This window comes from Homo sapiens, chromosome 2, assembly GCF_000001405.40.
Source record: "Homo sapiens chromosome 2, GRCh38.p14 Primary Assembly".
Lineage (NCBI taxonomy): Eukaryota > Metazoa > Chordata > Mammalia > Primates > Hominidae > Homo > Homo sapiens.
In genome coordinates, this window is record NC_000002.12 from 60,818,158 (window position 1) to 60,838,145 (window position 19,988).

Genomic DNA, 19,988 nt, shown 5'->3' on the forward strand with positions numbered 1-19,988 from the left:
ACACAGAACAAATAAGCTGGGCCCCTGAAAGCCACACCAACAAGCAGAGGAATCAATCGTACCTGTGTTTTCGTGACCCCAGCTCATCATATCCCTCTTAACAAACTAACATGGGAAGGAAGAGAATGTGATGTGCAGGGTCCACAGTTACCGCCACGGCTCTGAAGCATCCCTTGTGTGAAAACAGCTCCATTTCTTGGCCAAGCTCCATTTCAGACCCTGAGCTTGGGCTCCCTGTCTGTACTGTGACCTCACCCTGTGGAGTCCAACGTAGAGTGACTCATGAGTCATCAGGGGTTCGATCAACATTTCCTCTTGGCTACATATCCCACCCCCACCCCAAAGTCAGTGATCATCCCCTTTGGGAGCCTGGCTGCTGAGGGGGAAAGAAGGGGAAAGTGAGTCAGTCAAGAAATGACAACCCCAAGGGGGCAGCAGTATCCCTGCCTGAAGTCTAGATAAGAACAGGCAAAAGTATTATTAAAGTCATTCTTTCCTGTCAGCCTTTTCAGTTGAATAAGAAATGGAAAGGTGGTACCCTCCCTAGTGTGGGAGCAACTTGAGGGCCGGTATCACTTGTTTTTTGTAATAATAAAAGCCAGTCCTTGGTGGGGTGTGGTGGCTCACATCTGTAATTCCAATGCTTTGGGAGGCCAAGGTGGGAGAATCACTTGAGGCCAGGAATTCAAGACCAGGCTGGGCGATGTAGCAAGACCCCATCTCTACAAAATATATATTTAAAATTAGCCAAGGATAGTAGCACACCCATGGTCCTAGCTATTTGGGAAGCTGAGTGGGGAGGATCCCTTGAGCCCAGGAGTTCAAGGCTGCAGTGAGCCATGATCTTGCCACTGTACTCCAGCCTGAGCAACAGAGCGAGACCCTGTCTCAAAAAAAAAAAAAAGAAAGCCAGTGCCCACATAGCGAGACTATGTCCCAAGATCTGTTCTGAGTACTTAACATATATTCACCAATTGAATCCTCGTAACACCACAGTGAGGAAGAGACCATTATTCCCAGCCCTGTTCTGCAGATGAGGAGACCAAAGCACAGAAAGCTAAAGAATGGATGGGTCTGTAACCTGCTCAGGCCACACTGGTTATGAGTGGGTTCCACCACCGTCCTACACTGCCGGTATGTATCATCCAGGGCTGAAGGCAGTGCCTGGCCTGGTGGGGTGCACTGCCCCTGTGGTCCTTCTCACAGCTGGCCACATACCCCTCAGATGCAGTGAGCGGCCCACCAGACACCTGGCTTACAGAGAACAGGGGTGAAGGAGAGCTGCAAGCCTTCTCTCAAAGCCTCCCTTCCTTCCTGGTGTCTGTGGGCTGAGTGTGTCTCCCTCTGGCTTGATTCATGGTTTTTGCTCTCTCTTTGGTGCATTCATTCTTTCCAGATTTTTTACTTTCTTTCCATTCGCTCACAAGGGAAGACCTGCTGAGGGCGGAAACATCATGCATGAGTTAAAGGAGAACAATGGGTGAGAGGTGCCGAGTAAGCCTCGAGTGTGGCGGCTGTGTTGTGGTTCCCGAGCTTCCTCCACGCCGGATCTGATCTTCAGTGACGCCCAGCAGGGCCTACGGAGACATTCATCACTTCCTCCCTCAACGAAAGGTGTGAACCCAAGAAACTTTTCCTCTTCTATGTCAGGTGGTCCCTGTGCCGACTAGAGCAGGATCTATCTAGACTGTGGTTACTTACCTGTCCTTTCAGGGCGCCATTGTGTCCTTGTCCCTACAAGCCCCTACCCTACCCGACATGCACACAAGAATTTAGCGATTTGGGAGTTTTAGTTTTAGTTTTTGTTTTATTTATTTATTTTGGAGACAGGGTGTCGTTCTGTCACCCAGGCTGGAGTGCAGTGGCATGACCGAAATGGTAGAGTTCCCTGATCCCCCCGCAGGATGCACAACAGGGGTGTGGCTCACCTGTTGGGTCGCCACCGCCACCGTTGCTCAAAGCCCTTAAGGGAGGGGGAGCACGCAGATGGACAGGTGCAGGGGCCCAAGTGGGCGTGTGTTACAATGTGCCCCTTTAGCCTTGCGGTCCATGGACGGCTCAAGTGTTAACCAGCTCCGTGGACCCTCTGCCTTTCCGCAAGGGCAGAGGGCCAATGTGACAGCTTTCTGTATCCTAAGCTCTTGTCCAGCATCCCAGAAAAACCAGTCACACACGAACTTGAAGGATAAATGTGAGAATTTCACTGAGTAGTGGAGGTGGCTCTCAGCGGGGATGGATAGAGAGACAGAAGCAGGGGATGGAGTGGGAAGACAGTCTTCCCCTGGAGCCGGGCCGTCCAGAGCTGAACTCCTCTCCCACCACCAACAGCCCAACTCCTCTCGGCGTTCAGATGTTTCTCCTCTTCTGTCTTTCTCTGCCGCGCCCTCCATTCCACCCTGCATCTGCTTGTCTTCTCATCTTTTCACCTGCTTGTCTGCTTCTGGAGCCTGGGGTTTGGTGTTTATATGGGTACAGGATGGTACAGGATAGGGGCCATGGCAGGCCAAAAGGCAACTTTTGGGGCGTGAAAACAGGAATGCCTGTCCTCGTTTAGGGCCACAGGTCTTCAGGCTTGAGGGTGAGGTCTTTGCCGGGGAACCACCCTGTTCTACCCAGTACTTCCTTGTCTCCTGTCCACATCACGATCCTGGCTCTCTGCAGCCTCAACCTCCCAGGCTCAAGTGATCCTCCCACCTCAGCTTTCCTAGTAGCTAGGGCTACAGGTATGTACCACCACTTCTGGCTAATTTTTGTATTTTTTATAGAGATGGGGTTTCCCCATGTTGCCCAGGCTGGTCTTGAACTCCTGGGCTCAAGCTATCCACCTGCCTTGGCCTCCCAAAGTGCTGGGATGTTAGACGGCAGCTACTACACCTGGCCTAGCTGTTTGGTTTTCCCTGGGCATCTCTGCGTTGTGAGGCTTATTATTCCCAATTTACTCTCCTTGACCAAAGAGTGAGATCACCCTTGCAGGTTCTGCTTTGGAGATATGAGAAAGTCCAGACTTATCTAGACTGATGTTTCTCAAGCTTTTTTCATTTTCACCCCCTCAGGAGCCTTGGAAGATATTTTTTTTCTTATCGCTCCTCTCCCCATGACATTACTGTATGTCAGCATATCTAAAGGCCACAAACCATTGTAATGTCTAAGATTTTTTTCCACATACACATCCCTCTCAGTAAACAATTTTCAGCCCCTTGGGGGCAATATCACCTTTTGATTTTTGGGGTTTTTGAGATGGAGTCTCGCTCTTCGCCCAGGCTGGAGTGCAGTGGCACAATCTTGGCTCACTGCAACCTCCACCTTCCAGGTTCAAGCGATGCTCATGCTTCAGCCTCCCAAGTAGCTGGGACTACAGGCACACACCGTCATACCCAGCTAATTTTTGTATTTTTAGTAGAGACAGGGTTTTGCCATGCTGGCCAGGCTGGTCTCAAACTCCTGACCTCATGATCCTCCCACCTCGACCTCCCAAAGTGCTGAGATTACAGGCGTGAGCCACCGTGCCCAGCCTCAATATCACCTTTTGGAAGTCCATGAGCTAGGCTCAGCCACTGAGTGCCCCACCAGGCCTTCTCTTCCTTTGGGGTGGCAGCTGTTGATGTTCCTGCCCAACATGCATTACTTGTTCATGGTTATATATAAGCCCTCACCTACCTCTCTGTCAAACCTTAAGCCTGATGCAGTTTCACTCCTAGGTAGTTGCCCAAGAAAACCTCAAGTCCCCAAGACAGCCAAAAGACTATTACAAGAATGCTCGCAGCAGCTTTATTCATAATAACCACAAACTGGAAACAATCGAAATGAACTTCAACAAGACAATCAATATATAAGTAAATGGGGCTATATTCATACAATGCAATTTTACCAGCAGTAAAAAGGAACTAACTACTGCTACACATACAACATGGACAAATTGCAAAAGCATAGTATAAGTAAAAGGAAACAGATGCAAAAGAGTATGTGCTGTATGATCTATGAAGTTCAAGAACAACAAAAACTAGCCCACGGTGACAGTCAGCATAGTATGTACCTCAGGGAAGACTTAGAGGGAAATTTTTCTTCCCTATCTTGATTTGAATGGTTATTCCACAAATGTGTAATTAGGTTAAAATCTGTACCCTTATATAAAAATTCTAGCTATAATACACTTAAGATTTGTGTACTTAGCTCTATGTAAATTGTACCTTAAAATTTTAAACAGATCCTTGAAAATTCCTTCAAAACATTCAGACAGGGGTTCCTGGGTAAGATGCATATTTCAGGGTCTCATCCAAGGACCTGCTCTATGGGCTGAGACGCTAAATCTTACCCATGGCTCCAGGGATTCTGATGCAGGTTATCCTGGAGCTACACTCTGTTAATGGAAAAAAACAAACTGTGTACAATATTTTAAAGAGGTTTATTCTGAGCCAATGTGAATGACCATGGCCTGGGGAAACACAGCCTCAAGAGGTCCCAAGAAAGTATGCCAAAGGTGGCCGGGCAAGGTGGCTCACGCCTGTAACCCCAGCACTTTGAAAGGCTGAGGCAGGCAGATCACCTGAGGTCAGGAGTTTCAGACCAGCCTGGCCAACATGGTGAAACCCCGTCTCTACTAAAAATACAAAAAATTAGCCGGGCATGGTGGCAGGCATCTGTAATCCCAGCTACTCAGGAGGCTGAGGCAGGAGAATGACGTGAACCCGGGAGGCAGAGGTTGCAGTGAGCTGAGATCACGCCACTGCACTCCAGCCTGGGCAACAGAGCAAGACTCTGTCTCAAAAAAAAAAAAAAAAAAAAAAAGTGTGCCAAAGGCAGTCAGATTAGTTTGCTTTTATACATTTTAGAGAGGCAAGAGTTACAGGCAAACACATAAATCAATACATGGAAGGTATATATTGGTATGACCCAAAAAGGCGGGATATCTTGACGTGGAGGGCTTACAGGTTATAAGTGGATTCAGATATTCTTTAATTTACAGTTGGTTAAAGGAGTAAGGCTCTGTCTAAAATTTGGCGTCAGCAAAAAAGAATGTTTTAAATTAAGATAAGGATGCTACATAGCAAAATTGATGGCCTGCAGGCATGACTTCACCCTGGCCTCGCATGGTTTAAAATCTGGAATCTTAGTGCCACAAAGAATCTGTTTTGTCAGTCTTGTGATCTCTATTTTAACATTAAGGCTGGCCAGTTGTGCCTAAACTCCAAAAGGGAGTGGGTATAATGAGGCTGGTCTGACCCTCCTTCCCATTATGGCCAGGTAGTCTGTTTTTCGGCTGTCTCGGGGGTTCCCCTTGACCAAGAGTGGGTCCATGCAGTTGACTGGGGGCTTAGGATTTTAGTCTTAGTTTTCACTGTAAGACACACTGGTCAAGAGTTTCAGCAAAATACACTTACTGATTCCATCAGCTTCTTGGTCCATGTACCCATAAATGGGAAAACATAAGTCTTAAGAACTTGAAGTGAATGAAACAAATATTGCAAAATGTTCCTTGAGAAGCACAATGGAAATAGACCCTGAAGTCCTGTAAGCCTAAATCAAATCAATATGCAGACAAACTGGCTTCAAGGGGTGAAGGTGGTAATGTTGCAGGCAAGCAGCAGGCAAAGAAAGGGGTCCTTATACCCAGCAGTGTCTCATGGGCTACAATTGAGTGTTCTGACTCCAGCCCACCCTACATCACTGTGCAGTAGAAGGCACAACGTTATATTTGGACGCTAATAGGAGGCCCTCCTTTGATGAGCTGTGTGACTTTGAGTAAGTTACTTAACAGCTCTGATCTTCAGTTCCTCCTCTGTAAAATGGGAATAGTAGAATTTACCTCAAGGGGTTGTAAAAATTAAAAGAGAGAAAGTATGCAAGGACTTTGTACAATGCGTAGGGGAAGAAAATCTTTTTCCCTCTACTCTCCTAAATTTTCCAGCTGGGGCCCTGTAAATTCAACTGACGAAAAATAGATTAACATGTGCATCACACGTACGTACGTATTCCTCTGGTGCCCTCTCTGGGTTTATAAAGGTCTAGACTTCTCGCCAGTGATTAACTTCTGTCCTTCTTGGTAGAGAGGAGAGGAGGAGAAACCTTTACAAATTGGTGTCCTGGGCCAGGCGCCACAGCTCATGTCTGTAATCCCAACACTTTGGGAGGCCAAGGCATGCGGATCACCTGAGGTCAGGAGTTCGAGACCAGCCTGGCCAACATGGTGAAACTTTGTCTCTACTAATAATACAAAAATTAGCCGGGTGTGGTGGTGCATGCCTGTAGTCCCAGACACTCACAAGGCTGAGGCAGCGGAAATGTTTGAACCTGGGAGGCAGAGGTTGCAGTGAGCCGAGATCACACCATTGCACTCCAGCCTGGGAGTAAAAAGAGTGGGCAACAAGAGTGAAACTCCATCTCAAAAAAAAAAAAAAAAAAAATTTGTGTCTTGCTTTTGGGCAAATAGAGGGCAAGCAGAGAGCCTTTCATGTATCTGCTTCTTCTCAATGGTTGTCAGCTCAAAATAATCCTATGCCAAAGTAGCATATTTTGGGGTGCCGTGTTCTGCGCTGTCCTTCATATACCTGGCATACAGAAGGAGCTTGTTAAGTGTCGCTTTCTCCAATCTTTCCTGAACTTTAAGCTCCTGTTTGCACTAGCTTCAGCCCCTCATTCACACATTAAATAGTCACTGGCACCTATTCTGTACCAAGCACTGTGCCAAGGACTGGGACTGGAGGAATGAATGAGATGTAGACACTCAGAGTGGGGAGAACCACCTGGGGGGACAGGTACTGGGGATACCTTGTGATAAGGAGGATCATATCTCCCCAGTGTCAGCGTACTAGGAGGGGCTTCCAGGGCTCCCCTGAGTTGAGTTTAGCAGGATAAATAGAAATCACCAGCAAGTCAAATCACAAAGAACCCAGGGTGAGGAGAAGCTCTAGCTGTGCAGACTTTCTGGGTTCTCTTTCACGGCGTGCATTAATTCAAAAGCCAGTATCTAGTGCAAGATTGTGTGCCAGTCACCAAGCCAGACACTGAGGAACACACGGATACCTGAGACAGTTCATGCTCTCAGGAGACTCTTCATCTGAGACAATCCATGCTCTCAGGAGACTCTTCATCTGAATCAGGCCCTCCCAAAAGCACGAGGGTGGTAGAAAGCTGGGGATCAGAATTACAGAATTACACACATAATTTGTGAGGTCTTTTTGTTTGTTTTTATGTTTTGTTTTGCTTTTGGGTTTTTTGTTTTGTTTTGTTTTTTGTTTTGTTTTGTATTGTTTTTTTGAGACAGAGTCTCGCTCTGTTGCCCCAGGCCGGAGTGCAGTGGCGCAATCTCGGCTCACGGCAACCTCTGCCTCCCGGGCTCAAGCCATCCTCCTGCCTCAGCCTCCTGAGTAGCTGGGATTACAGGCACCCGCCACCAGGCCTGGCTAAATTTTTTTGTATTTTTAGTAGAGATGGGGTTTAGCCATGTTGGTCAGGCTGGTCTCGAACTCCTGACCTCTGGTGATCTGCCCACCTCGGCCTCCCAAAGTGCTGGGATTACAGGCATGAGCCACTGTGCCTGGCCTACACCCATAATTTCTAACTGTCCTATGTTGCTAATCAACTGCTAGTCCTCAGAGGAGAGAGATGAGGTCCTAGGTGCCTTTACTATTTGTCCCAGGACGTGGTAACAGTCTCTGGCCATGGAGGGAATTAGCAAGCAGTGCTGACTGGCCAAGTCCAACCCCCTCCATCCCCCTCAAATGACAGCAGTTAGGAAGTTCTGTTTCTTGAAAGCCCATTGCAGGAAACATTCCATGAGTGACAGAAATCATGCTAGATCTTTAGTAGGTTGGCAGCAGCTTTTTCCAGCTGTCTGAGGCAGGATCCAAAGGCTGTCGTGTCACTTTGTCATAAATCCAATCTTTTCAAGAAAATTTGTGATGCTCTGAGAAATTGGGCATCTTCTCTGGGACTGTGAAAGGTGGCTCATGCTGTGGCATGCTAGTAAATATTTATCATCAGCTCTCTAAGAAAAACAAAATGCCCTGCTTTGCAGTGTGTGCTGATTTCCCTGGTGCAAATACTGCCACCATAAGCAACAGTGCCACTAGACCAATGTGACATCACTGAATGTGCAGTTGGGAAGGGATATGCGCAGTCAGCCCATGCGAGCAGAAAGGAACCTTCTCCAACATGCCACTGAGTCATGCTCTACTTGGACCTGAGGGAACACTTGCCAGAATGATATGCAGATGTCATCTCAGTGATGAATAACAGCAGATTCTTAAAAGACAAAAAGCCTTGTTTGAAACACTTCTGGGCACTAGCATGACCTGCACCATGAGCTGGGTCCAGGCCTCTGTATTTTGTTATATCAAGTTTAGCCTGAAGCTACCTCTTTACATATTTTAAGTTCAGCCTAAATGTTTTTCTGTACATCATGAACTATAACCTAAATGGAATTGTAAACAGACTGTAGCCTACTCTTGTGCCAATCACTGAGTTTTGGCCAATCAAATGTAGCCAACTGTTCAAACTGCGCTCAAATAAGGCAAATGCCGAGCTATAACCAATCCAGCTGTTTCTTTTCTTTTCTTTTCTTTTCCTTTTTTGTTTTTTGAGATGGAGTCTTGCTCTGTGGCCCAGGCTGGAGTGCAGTGGAGTGATCTCAGCTCACTGCAACCTCTGCCTCCCAGGTTCAAGCCATTCTCCCACCGCAGCCTCCTGAGTAGCTGGGATTACAGGTGCATGACCCCACACCCAGCTAATTTTTGCATTTTTAGTAGAGACAGGGTTTCACCATGTTGGCTAGGCTGGTCTCGAACTCCTGACCTCAGGTGATCTGTCTGCCTCAGCCTCCCAAAGTTCTGGGATTACAGGTGTGAGCCACTGCACCTGGCTTCAGTCCAGCTGTTTCTGTACCTCACTTTCATTTTCTGTACATCGCTTTCCTTTTTCTGTCAATAAATCTTCTTCCACTATGTGACTGCACTGGAGTCTCTGAGCCTACTCTGGCTCAGCAGGCTGCCTGATTGGCGAATCCTTTTATGCTCAAACTCTTAAATTTAATTTGGCTGAAGTTTTTCCTTTAAGAACTTCTTTGGACCAGGCTACTGCTTTCCACATGTCCCATCCTTTCTCTGCCTGGTCACCTCCTACCCATCCCCTAGTCTCTTTTTTTGTTTTTTTGAGACGAAGTCTCACTCTGTCATCCAGGCTGGAGTGCAGTGGCACACGCATGGTTCACTGCAGCCTCGATCTTCCGGGCTCAAGCAGATCCTTGCACCTCAGCCTCCCAAGTAGCTGGGACTATAGGCACATGCCACTGCACCCAGCTAGTTATTTATTTTTTGTAGAGACCGGGACTCCCCACGTTGCCCTGGCTGGTCTTGAACTCCTGGGCTCAAGTGATCCACCCACCGCAGCCTCCCAAAGTGCTGAGATTACAAGCATGAGTCATCGCACCCAGCCACTGTCCTTCTATTCTCAACTGGAATCACTTCTTCAAGGACGTCTTCTCACCCCCACCCCTCCACCTTAGGTGAAGTTCCTCCACCTCGTGCTCTCAAAGCCCACCCACTCCTCCTTTCTGGCCCTCATCACAGTTTTTGTTTGTTTGTTTGAGACGGAGTCTGGCTCTGTGGCCCAGGCTGGAGTGCAGTGGCACCATCTCAGCTCACTGCAACTTCTGCCTCCCAGGTTCAAGCGATTCTCCTGCCTCAGCCTCCCCAGTAGCTGGGGTTATAGGCGTGTGCCACCACTCCCGGCTAATTTTTGTATTTTTAGTAGAGAAGGGGTTTCACCATGTTGACCAGGCTGGTCTCAAACTCCTGACCCCAAGTGATCCTGCCGTCTTAGCCTCCCAAAGTGCTAGGATTACAGGCGTGAGCCACTGCACCTGGCACTCATCACAGTTTAATGTCCATGTTGTTGGTGTGATTATTTTATTTGTATCTCCCTGTGGACTGCAAACTCCCTGAGAGCAGGGTCTGTAATCCCTGGTTCACACATGTTGGGAGTTCAGATAGTGGGCCATGGAGTGCATAGGTGAAGAAGTAACTGAACTGAAAAAGTACGGAGACAGGCAGAGCCCAGAACCAGCTTTTGGGATCACCCTCTGAAGCTCCCTCTCCCTCATCTTCAGTTAGAGGGGTCGACTGGCGACCAGGTGACCTTTGTCCTAAGTTTCAAGATTCTGGCTCTAGTGTCAACTTAGCCACATGGTCATCATCCAGTAGGGGAGAAAATTCTCCAGCTCTGATGAGGAGGCCCTCTAGCCCAGCCACCACTACTAGCCTTATGTGGTGTATATAAATTAGACAAAGATCTCCCCATTAGCCAAATGTAGCTCCAAGGACCCTTGACTTTGCTACAGGATGCTGTATTTGGTGAAGAAAAATGTACCTCTTCTCAGAGCACAAGACTTAGCAGACAGCACTGGGACTGAATTTCAGATATCACCACCCCCACAGTCCAGCATCTCTGTGCAGTGCCCAAACTGGCAGCCCTGCTGGCTCGGCCTCCGCAGGAGCCAGCCTTGCCCAGATCTAGGGGCAGAGAGTTTCAGGCAGAGGGGGACAGCAGTGTAAAGTTCCCCAGGCAGGACTGAGCTCAGGCTTTGAGAAATCAGAGGAGGCCTGAGTGGATGGAACTCAATGGGGGGCAGGAAGGAGTGGAGGTATGAGGGGGTAAGGGCTTTGGGCTAAGCGAAGAGCTTATATTTTATTCAAGGTGTCTGTTGAACTGAATGGGAATCATAAATTCAGATAAAACAGCGTATCTCATTTTTTAATCTATTGACAATGAATGCATAATAGACCCCGGGGGAATATGACAAGGTTGTCCCAGCCTTATGTAGAGGAGTTTGGGGACCACATCCTTTCCTAGGGCATGGAGGACCTGAGCCAAATTATATTGTGTACTCTCCTTCCACAGGCTCTCCTCCAGGTAAAATCATATTAAAATATGCATCAAGGATGGCCTTAAGAGTGTGGATGTTTATTGTTCTGCCCATCTCCTTTCGTTTCTTTTGGGATTATTGTTTTCCCTATTCTGGACATGTGGTTTGAATGGGGGCTGCCACGTTCATTCTTTCTTTCTTTCTTCTTTCTTTTCTTTTTTTTTTTTTTTTTTGACAGGATCTGCTCTGTCACCTAGGCTGGAGTACAGTGGTGCAATCATTGTCTCAATGCAGTCTCAAACTCCTGGGTTCAAGCCATCCTCCCACCTCAGCCTCCCAAGTAGCTGGGAAAACAGGCACATGCCACCACATTGGGCTAATTTTATTTTCTATTTTTATTTAGAGGCTGGGTCTGGCTTGGTGTCCAGGCTGGTCTCAAACTCCCAGGCTCAAGGGATCATCCTGCCTTGGCCTCCCAAGGTGCTGGGATTACAGGTGTGAGCCACTGCACCCGGCCAGCCACATTCTTATAGAGCCTGCTCTTGGCCACAGTCCTGAGGTGGAAACTTGGTCCTAGCTAGGCCATTCAGAATTCTTCCCCAGGATTTTAAAAACATAGACCAGAGAGGTCTGAGTAATTCCTTTGTGGTGCATTAATGTATTCAACATTTTTCTCTTTTGGGGTGAACACTTATTATAATACCGTGCTTAGGTATAAAAATACAGTAGTAAGAAAAGGAAAAGTCAAAGTCCCTGCCTCCCCAGAGCTTACAATCTAGTGAGAGGGATATGTGTGAGTCCAAAGCTGATGCAAATAAATATAAAATTACACTGAAGACAGATGCAAAAAAAGAGAGGCTGGTGGCACTTTGAGAACCTGTGGTGGGGGAACTACCTGGGGAAGTAGGTCAAGGATGGTTTCCCCAAGGAAACGATGACGGAGCTGAGATCTAGGTAGTGGGAATGGCATGTGAGAAGACTGAGTGGCAGGAGAGGGCATGGCAAGTGCAGGGAGAGCAAGAGGGCAGTGTGACGAGAGAGGGAGAAGGGTGCAGGGGGGCCAGGTTCCAGATAAGGCTGGAAGGGTAGGAGGAGGCTGTTATATCTGTTAGGAATTGTGTTTGGCTTCTAGTTATAAATAGAGGGGACTTCAATAAGATAGAAATTTATAATTTCTCACCTAAAAGTTGTCTAAAGCTAGGAAATAGGTACCTTTATCCCAAAATCCTTCTACGATTCTCTCTGCCATTTTGGGTGCTAGTTTCCATCTTCAAGTTCTCATAGTCTCAAGATGACCACTGTAGCACTAGCTATTATGTCCACATGCCAGGCAGAAGGAGGAAGGCATAAGGATGAAAATGGCAAAACATCCAGCTGAATCAGCCTTTTGTGAAGGACTTTTGCAGGAACTCAATCTAATTACTTCCATTTACATCTCATTGTCTACCTCTGGCTGCAAGAGATGCTGGGAAATGTCGTGTTTTCACTGAGTTCATTGCCACTTCCAACAACATGGGGATTCTGTTACCAAGAAAGAAGGGGAAAGTTTCAGATGCCTTTGAGATACCCAAGAGTAGATATCAGGAAGGCATTTGGATACACAGGCCTAGAGCTTGGAGAAAGGCCTGTGTTGGAGAATACATTTGAGAATCCTTTAGGTAGAGGTGGTGATTGACCTCACATGAGCAAGATCTCAGGGAGGGAGTAAGAGGGCTTAGGATGCAGCCTGGAGGAACTCCAGCATTTGATGGGCAGGTAGGGGGCTGAGCCTACTAAAGAGACAAAGAAGGAAAAGGATAAAGTCTGGAAGATGTGAGGCTGGGGCACCACCATTGTGGGGAGAGCCCCTCTCCACAGAGAGAGAAGGAAGTGAGTTGGCCAGAGAGGAGTGTGGAATGGAGAGCAGGGGTGAGGGAGGGAGGGATTCGCTGGTTCCCTCATTCCTGATGCCCTGCCCTTCCTGTGATTTGGTTGTTGAACTTTCTGTTACATGCCTTCCAATCAATCTCCTCTTTTGTCTAAATCATTCTGAGCCTGTCCCTCTCAACTTTACTAATACAGGTAAGTTCAGGACTGAGGAATGTGGAAGATAACTCAATCCATTGTGCCTTGTGAAAAGGGGAGGCAGCCTGCTGATTGCAAATGCACGTCTGTTCTTTTCAGCACCTTTGATGGGCCCACTTTTGGGCAAGTCCTAGCGTGAGCTCTCGAGGTCAGACCTTGTGTCTTCCTAGTGTGTGCTCATAGTAAGCTCTATTTGTCTGAATGAATAAATGGTTGTGGAATGAGAACCACCATGGCATGCTTATTGTTCCAGCACTCATGAAGACACTGGTTTGGTAGAGTTGAGTTTGTTAGTCGTTCACTTCCCTTCTCCTCTTCCATTCAATCACTCTCTCAATGACTTCCAAGCCAGAAGTGCCATGCCATCTATTTTCTCACTACTGTGACAAGAAAACTCAATGGCAACAGAGAAATAAACAAGGATAAAGGCTTATTGCTAACTGCTAATTTTCTGACCACAGTATGGATCTAAAGGGCACATATGTCAGCCTATGTCCCAATGAAAAAACGGGTTAATCACTATATAAATGACATTCCTGATTTTTCTTTTCTCTCTTTCTTTTTTTTCTTTTAGAGACAGGGTCTTACTATGTTGCCCATGCTGGAGGGCAGTGACTATTCACAGGTGCGATGCTGCTACTGATCAGCTCGGGAGTTTTGACCTGCTCCATTTCCAACCTGGGCTGGTTTACCCCTCCTTAGGCAACCCAGTGGTCCCCTGCTCCTGGGAGGTCACCACATTGATGCCAAAATCAGAGCAGAGCAGACACCTGATCAGCATAGCACATTATAGCCGGCATTCCTGAATTTTCATAGTGATGAATCAACTAATGATTTATACAATAATTCAACAAGCAGAAGTTTTCACCAAGCTTTCTATCCACTTGCCTGAAAGGAATTACAAAATCAGATCTGGCCAAGTGGAAGAAAGAGTTTTAAATAGTAGTAAAAGGGCTGTCCATTTTTTGGTGGGAGGAATGGTTTGAGTAGACAGAGCTAACTGATAAACCATATCCAATTTCCATGTGACTTTGAGTTCCCTAGGTACTGGTATAAACAAGGATACAAAACACACACACTCTTTCTGCCTTAACCAAACCAATATGTTCATGCTCATAGTCATTGGTCATCAGCTTTTCCAAAGCTCCTTTTCCAATCCAACTCATGACATATATCCAGTTTCATATATATTTATATATATACACACACATAATATATGTTTGTGTATATATAATATGTATAATATTTTATATTATATGTATGTGCACACATACTCTCCAGACCATCAACTCCACCAGTGTTGAAAATAAACATGGAAAAGTCCTCATCCATATCACCATAGGCGGTCTTGGAGATGGGCCTTTCAACTCAAGCTGGTCTCAGCAGCTAAGGGATTAGTCTATCCCTTGAGAAGGAACTAGGCAACTGGAATGAAACAAGAAAAGTGAGCATTTGGGGGTGACACTTCTCAAACTGAAGAATTTTTATTCTAGGGAGTATTAATTGTGAACAAATGTTCAATTTCTCATTGGGTAAAGGGTTAATCTCACTGGTGGGTAATTGCCCATGAGAAATTATCTGGTCGTGAGAAGTCTGCTCTCCATGTCCCACCCTTGGGTGAACTGTTCACACACTTCACCACTTTGAAGTCTTCCCTTGCAAAATGTATGGCATTAAAGCCTATTTGTCTTCCCCCTTAAGGGCTATGAAGCTCAAAATCAGTCACTGAATGAAACAAAACTCAGCTCCTTTGAATAAAACAATTTACTCCTTGAGTCAACTTGAGTAATTCTCACTTATGCCATTCGTAATTATAAGGGGGAAAAAAACCTTCTAATGTGTAACTTTCAAGAGCCTAAGTCATTCTCTGACAGAAAATTAAGAGCTTAGTGATTCATACCAACCTTTCTAGGCAAAAAGATGCCTCTGATTATATGATGATGTGGTCCCTCATATTTATCCCCTTGAAGGGACACAGGCTGGACCCCTATCCCAAAATGTCTCCCTCAATCTCCCCTGCTAGTTAGGGTGCTGAAAACGTGCTGGGCCCTACCCGATTGAAATGAAAATCCCCCCAGAATAGCAGTACTTTTGCCTTAATCTGACTTATGGAGGGCAGCAGGCAGAGGAGGACAGGTTTTCTGGGGCTGACATTCCCCCTTAGACTTCCCACTGAATATAAAATTACTGCCTCAATCTACTCTTTTCTCCTGGAGCCTCCAAACCATAGCTGGGAGGGAATTTTGAAAATTATCTCATCAAGCCTGCAGTGAACTGCGATCACAACACTGCACTCCAGCCTAGGCAACAGAGCGAGACCCGGTCTCCAAAAAAAGAAAAGAAAATGATCTCAAAGGCAGCAGTGAAGGGCACAGATACTAGGCTTAGTCAGGATCTGCTACGTACTAGCTGGATGACCTTGGGCAAGTTACTTAACCTCTCAGTGCCTCAGTTCCACATCTGCGATGTGGGGATGATAATGGCACCCACTTCATGTGCCTGAATCTTTCTCCATTCATCTCCTCTTCTCTGATCCAGTAAGCATTAACTTGTTGGTCCCTTAAAACTCTCTTCTGTCTTTCTGTCTCTGTTTCTCTCTCCCTTGACCTGGGCCTTCTAAACGTTATTCTCTCTTGTTTGGTCAGCCTCTCCTCGCAACCTGACCCCTTCCACCTTCACCTACCGCTTTTAGAGTTTACCTTAGATGTTACTTTCTCCTAGAAACTGTCCCTGACTGGCTGCCCCCAAGTCTGGGGTCAGCGTCTATGTGGATGTTCCTGCCACACCCTACATTTCTCTTATCCAGCACCTGTCACCCTGAATTGTAGGTGCCACGTTAGACTTCGCTCTTTGAGAACAGGCACAGTGTCTTTCTTCTCTCTTGTCCAATGACTGAGCATACAGGTTGGATAAAGATTTATTGAATTAAGGAATGAACCAGTAGATAGATGGATGAAGGTTAGACAGAAGCCTAATACCAACTTATGGAAATTCCTACAGACATTTCAGTGGAGAGGGTATGAGAATGGAATTACCCAGAGCAGGGATCTTTGCCATCAAATATAGATTTAGATGTTACTTAATTTCCTTTTAAAAATGGATGGCCTTTACTGCCAACAGCTCAGAAACTACTTGTTTCATTTAACTTTATCTCCACATATGTAGGAGTAATATACCCTCAGGATAACAATACCAAGAAGTTTCTTTTTTTTATTTTAGAAGAGGACAAACAGGAAGGAAAAACAGGAATTGAATCCCCTAGTATGTAGTCATGTGTTTCTGTTTTCTCAGAGCCTCAGTTATAGTGAAGAGATACATGACATTTAGATATGAAGCTTGGATCTCAGTCCCTGGTGAAAATAGGGTATTTCCATGAGGTAATCACTGCTCTAAATATGTCAATAGTGTGTTGTCATTCTGTTGAATAGAGCTCCAGCCCGAAGGAATTTCCCTAGGAGCCCTGCTTCAGCCATCTCCCTGGCCCCCTGGGAGGGAGGGGTTTATCTGGTTTTTGCCTTGGTCTGAATGTGAGGTCATCCCCATCACGCACACTCTTCAGGGCACTGTCCCAGGCACTGAGAAACAAAAGGGTGGGAGGTAGACATGGTCTCCATCCAGAGAGAGCAGAGGGTCCCAAGGGTACACAGACAAATCACCATCCTGAGGCACGGGGCCAGGGAAGAGAGCAAGACTTTGTTCATGGACAGGACAGGAAATGAATGAGGGAGCAGACGAGTGGCCAAACTGAGACCCTCTTACCTTTGACAAGTTGACAGTGAAGCAAAGGAAGCAGATGAGGCAGGACTTTGCTCGTGAAGCAGGGTCGGGGGTGCATTTGTAAAGGAAGGAGCCGCTAGAGAGGAGCTAGGAGGCTGTGATAGATAAAAGACAGAGTGAAGGACAGTGGGAGACAGCAGAACAAGATCAAGATGGAGGAGTCAACTTTGGTTTGAAAGAACTTTTCCTCATCTAAAATCCAGGGATTGGCCGGGCACGGTTGCTCACGCCTATAATCCCAGCACTTTGGGAGGCCGAGGTGGGCAGATCACCTGAGGTCAGGAGTTCGAGACCAGCCTGGCCCACATGGCAAAACCCCAACTGTACTAAAAATACAAAAAAACAATGAGCCAGGCGTGGTGGTGCATGCCTGTAATCCCAGCTACTCAGGAGGCTGAGGCAGGAGAATCACTTAAACCTGGGAGGCAGAGGTTGCAGTGAGCTGAGATTGCTCCACTGCACTCCAGCTGGGCCACAAAGCAAGACTCCATCTCAAAAAGAAGAAGAAAAAGAAAGAAAGAAAGAAAGAAAGAAAGAAAGAAAGAAAGAAAGAAAGAAAGAAAGAAAGAAAGAAAGAAAGAAAGAAAGAAAAAATAAATCCAGGGATCAATATAAAAACAGATTTTTCTGGGGAGAGGAGAGAAGTAAGCATAGGGAGTTCCTACTGGAGCCAGGCAGTCCTGGGACCAAGTGCCTGCATTGTGACTTGGAGGACCAAGTGCCTGCATTGTGACTTGGAGGAAGTTGCCTCTTTAAACCCGGGATTCATCATCTGCAAGACAAGGTTATTGATACTCGCCTCGCAGATGAAGTGTAGTTATGGCGCCAGCCTAGTGCTTATGGCTGCTGCATACATGGTAGCAGCTGTGATTACTACTGTAACTCATCTCAGGGAAGCAGGAGGTGTAGGCATCCACAGAAGGGTAACAGGGAAAGGATGGTTTAGGGGCTTTGGGGAAATGAGCCGCCATGGGACTATTACAGAGATAGTCAGAAGGGGACTAGAAGGAAGGCCATGAGGTGGTAAAGGACCAGCAAAGGTCCAAGGGCAGGAATTTGGGGCAGTCCATTGGTAACTCTGGGACTTTAACTGGTAGGGTTCAGCAGCCTGGGAGTGGGATCTCAGCAGCTGGGGAGAGGGATTGACATTTCCATTAACATTGTGTGGACATTCACATCCGTGAAGGAAGTGTCTAAACTCTAGTTTTAGGGAGGCTGATCTTTTGATCAGGGTTTGCACAACAAAGCACCACTCCGGTGCCTGTAATTCTAGGACTCCCTGTTTCGCAGCCGTTAGCATCAGACAGGTTTCCACCAGTTTTCGTTCAAGTCACTGCCCTAACAACCTTCCTATGTGTGTGTACAGAAGGAAGAGCCAGATATATGATGAACAATGGTTTATGACAGACCCAACAAATGCCTTTGAGACAGAATGCCTTTGAGATGTTACCTTACGCTGCTGGTCATTCATTTTGACAACTTGGATTGTCAATTGACTTGTAGTAAAAGGAGCACCCTAGAACAGTTTCTAAACCTCAGCACTAACCAGATATGGTGCCAGATAATTCTTTGCTGTGGAGGTTGCCCTGTGGATTATAAGATGTTTAGCAGTATCCTTGGCCTCTACCCACTAGATGCCAGTAGCAGCCCTCCCCGCTGGGGGTAGAATTTGCCCCTGGTTGGGAATCACTACCCTAGAAGTACAATGATAATCCTTGATGAAAACCATACTAGTGTCCACATTTTACTACTTTGAACTCAGCTGTGATAATCTCCCCAAATAGCAGTTCTCCAAGGACCTTCTTCCTTATGGCCAAGTCCCCAGTTGTTGCATCACTTCATTTAGCAAGGCAGAGCTAAATGATTGCAAAAAGGTAAAGCTGAGAAACAAGAGCTACACAAATTTACAGGCATTTCATCAGGAGTGGTTCAAGTTTTATAGAGCCTGAAACGTATGCACCTTAGGAAGCCCTTTTCATGAACACTAATGCATAATTGTAAACACAAAATCGCTAGGGCCCCTCTTGGGGTGTTGGAAGAAGCTGGGGCTCAGACTTTATTGGTTTCTCCATGAACCTGCTTCTATACATCATGCAAACTTATTCTTTGCTCAATTTTCTTCTCCTGTCTGAACTTTTTCCTCCCAGAATACTATGTTGGATAATCCTACATATAACATTCACTTCCAACGTGCTTTTCTCTTGTAAACAATTACTTAAGATATTATCCCTTTTGCTTCTTTTTTTCCACAAGTTATGAAGGCGAAACCATATTGCTTTCAGCTAAAGAGGTGCAAAGTTGATGTGAGACTAGGTAAAAGAAACCATCTAGATCTCAATTTCCAAGGCTATATGGAAAATGAAATTGTTCTACTTATTAAAATAGCATTTCTTAACCTTCTTGTGACTTACTAAAAATGACCATTAACATTTTCAGTGGGTTCCATTTTGGTTTTGGTCAGAGTTTCTTCTGTTTCACTGAGAATTTCGGTGACATTTATCCTTCACTTCCTTTTTTTTTCTGCTGCCCTCTGGGGCTGAGGCTAGGGGATGTGGTGCTCTTGTTGGTCAAACAGCTTCTTTTGGATAGGATTAGCTGAGACCCAATGCTCCAATTCATGATAATAAATCATGTCTTCCTTTTCAAAGTACTCTAATATTTATTCTCATTAATGTTATATGTAAGAAACTGTTATGAGTGCAGCATAAACCAGGCTCGCTTGGGAATCCATCAGTAAATAAGGTCCTCTCCTCACCCCAACAAGGCTTACAGTTGAGTAGGAATGACACATATATATACATAAACAACAGCAATAATAATGGCCATCATCATCATTTGAGTGTGTAGTATGTTCCTACACTACCCTAAGCACTTTACAAACATACCTCAAAATATAAGGCAGAGTGTGATGTATAATGATAAATCACAAACTGTGTTATCTGGGGCCATATTAATTACAGCTGTCCAGGGAACAGCAGGAACACTTCATGGAGCAAAGGGAATCTGAATGGAGCTCTTGGGGTCACTGTGCTCTATCCAGGCAGAGATGCTTCAAGACATAGCACAGACATTCATTTCTTAGTAGCCCTGATGTGGTTCAGGACATGGTATCCCCAAAATACAGCACCTTGGCACACTGAGTATTTCAAGCTGAAGGAATTTGAGAAGCCATTTACTGGAAGGTCTCTCTGACCCTTCCCTGCCCTTCTGCCCTGAAGCAGATCATAAGACTTTTATTCAAGAGGTGCCCTCCCTATATCCAGAAGAAAGGAACAGTCTTTTTTCTTTT

The 19,988-nt window shown here is 46.0% G+C and overlaps 1 pseudogene, besides 5 other annotated features; it reads right to left on the bottom strand.

Annotated features, from left to right (window-relative positions):
* Positions 1,499–1,548: a silencer, noted in NCBI's record as "silent region_11520". NCBI's record gives its function as "represses an Ori minimal core promoter by ATAC-STARR-seq in GM12878 lymphoblastoid cells {active_cell/tissue: GM12878}" and the evidence as "EXISTENCE:reporter gene assay evidence [ECO:0000049][PMID:35858748]".
* Positions 12,888–13,117: a silencer, noted in NCBI's record as "fragment chr2:61058180-61058409 (GRCh37/hg19 assembly coordinates)". NCBI's record gives its function as "represses an EF-1alpha promoter that drives an FKBP-Casp9 reporter gene in an ReSE screen in K562 erythroleukemia cells {active_cell/tissue: K562}" and the evidence as "EXISTENCE:reporter gene assay evidence [ECO:0000049][PMID:32094911]".
* RN7SL632P (RNA, 7SL, cytoplasmic 632, pseudogene) lies at positions 13,507–13,772 on the bottom strand (annotated as a pseudogene).
* Positions 16,072–16,131: an enhancer, noted in NCBI's record as "active region_15819". NCBI's record gives its function as "activates an Ori minimal core promoter by ATAC-STARR-seq in GM12878 lymphoblastoid cells {active_cell/tissue: GM12878}" and the evidence as "EXISTENCE:reporter gene assay evidence [ECO:0000049][PMID:35858748]".
* Positions 16,162–16,211: an enhancer, noted in NCBI's record as "active region_15820". NCBI's record gives its function as "activates an Ori minimal core promoter by ATAC-STARR-seq in GM12878 lymphoblastoid cells {active_cell/tissue: GM12878}" and the evidence as "EXISTENCE:reporter gene assay evidence [ECO:0000049][PMID:35858748]".
* Positions 16,322–16,441: an enhancer, noted in NCBI's record as "active region_15821". NCBI's record gives its function as "activates an Ori minimal core promoter by ATAC-STARR-seq in GM12878 lymphoblastoid cells {active_cell/tissue: GM12878}" and the evidence as "EXISTENCE:reporter gene assay evidence [ECO:0000049][PMID:35858748]".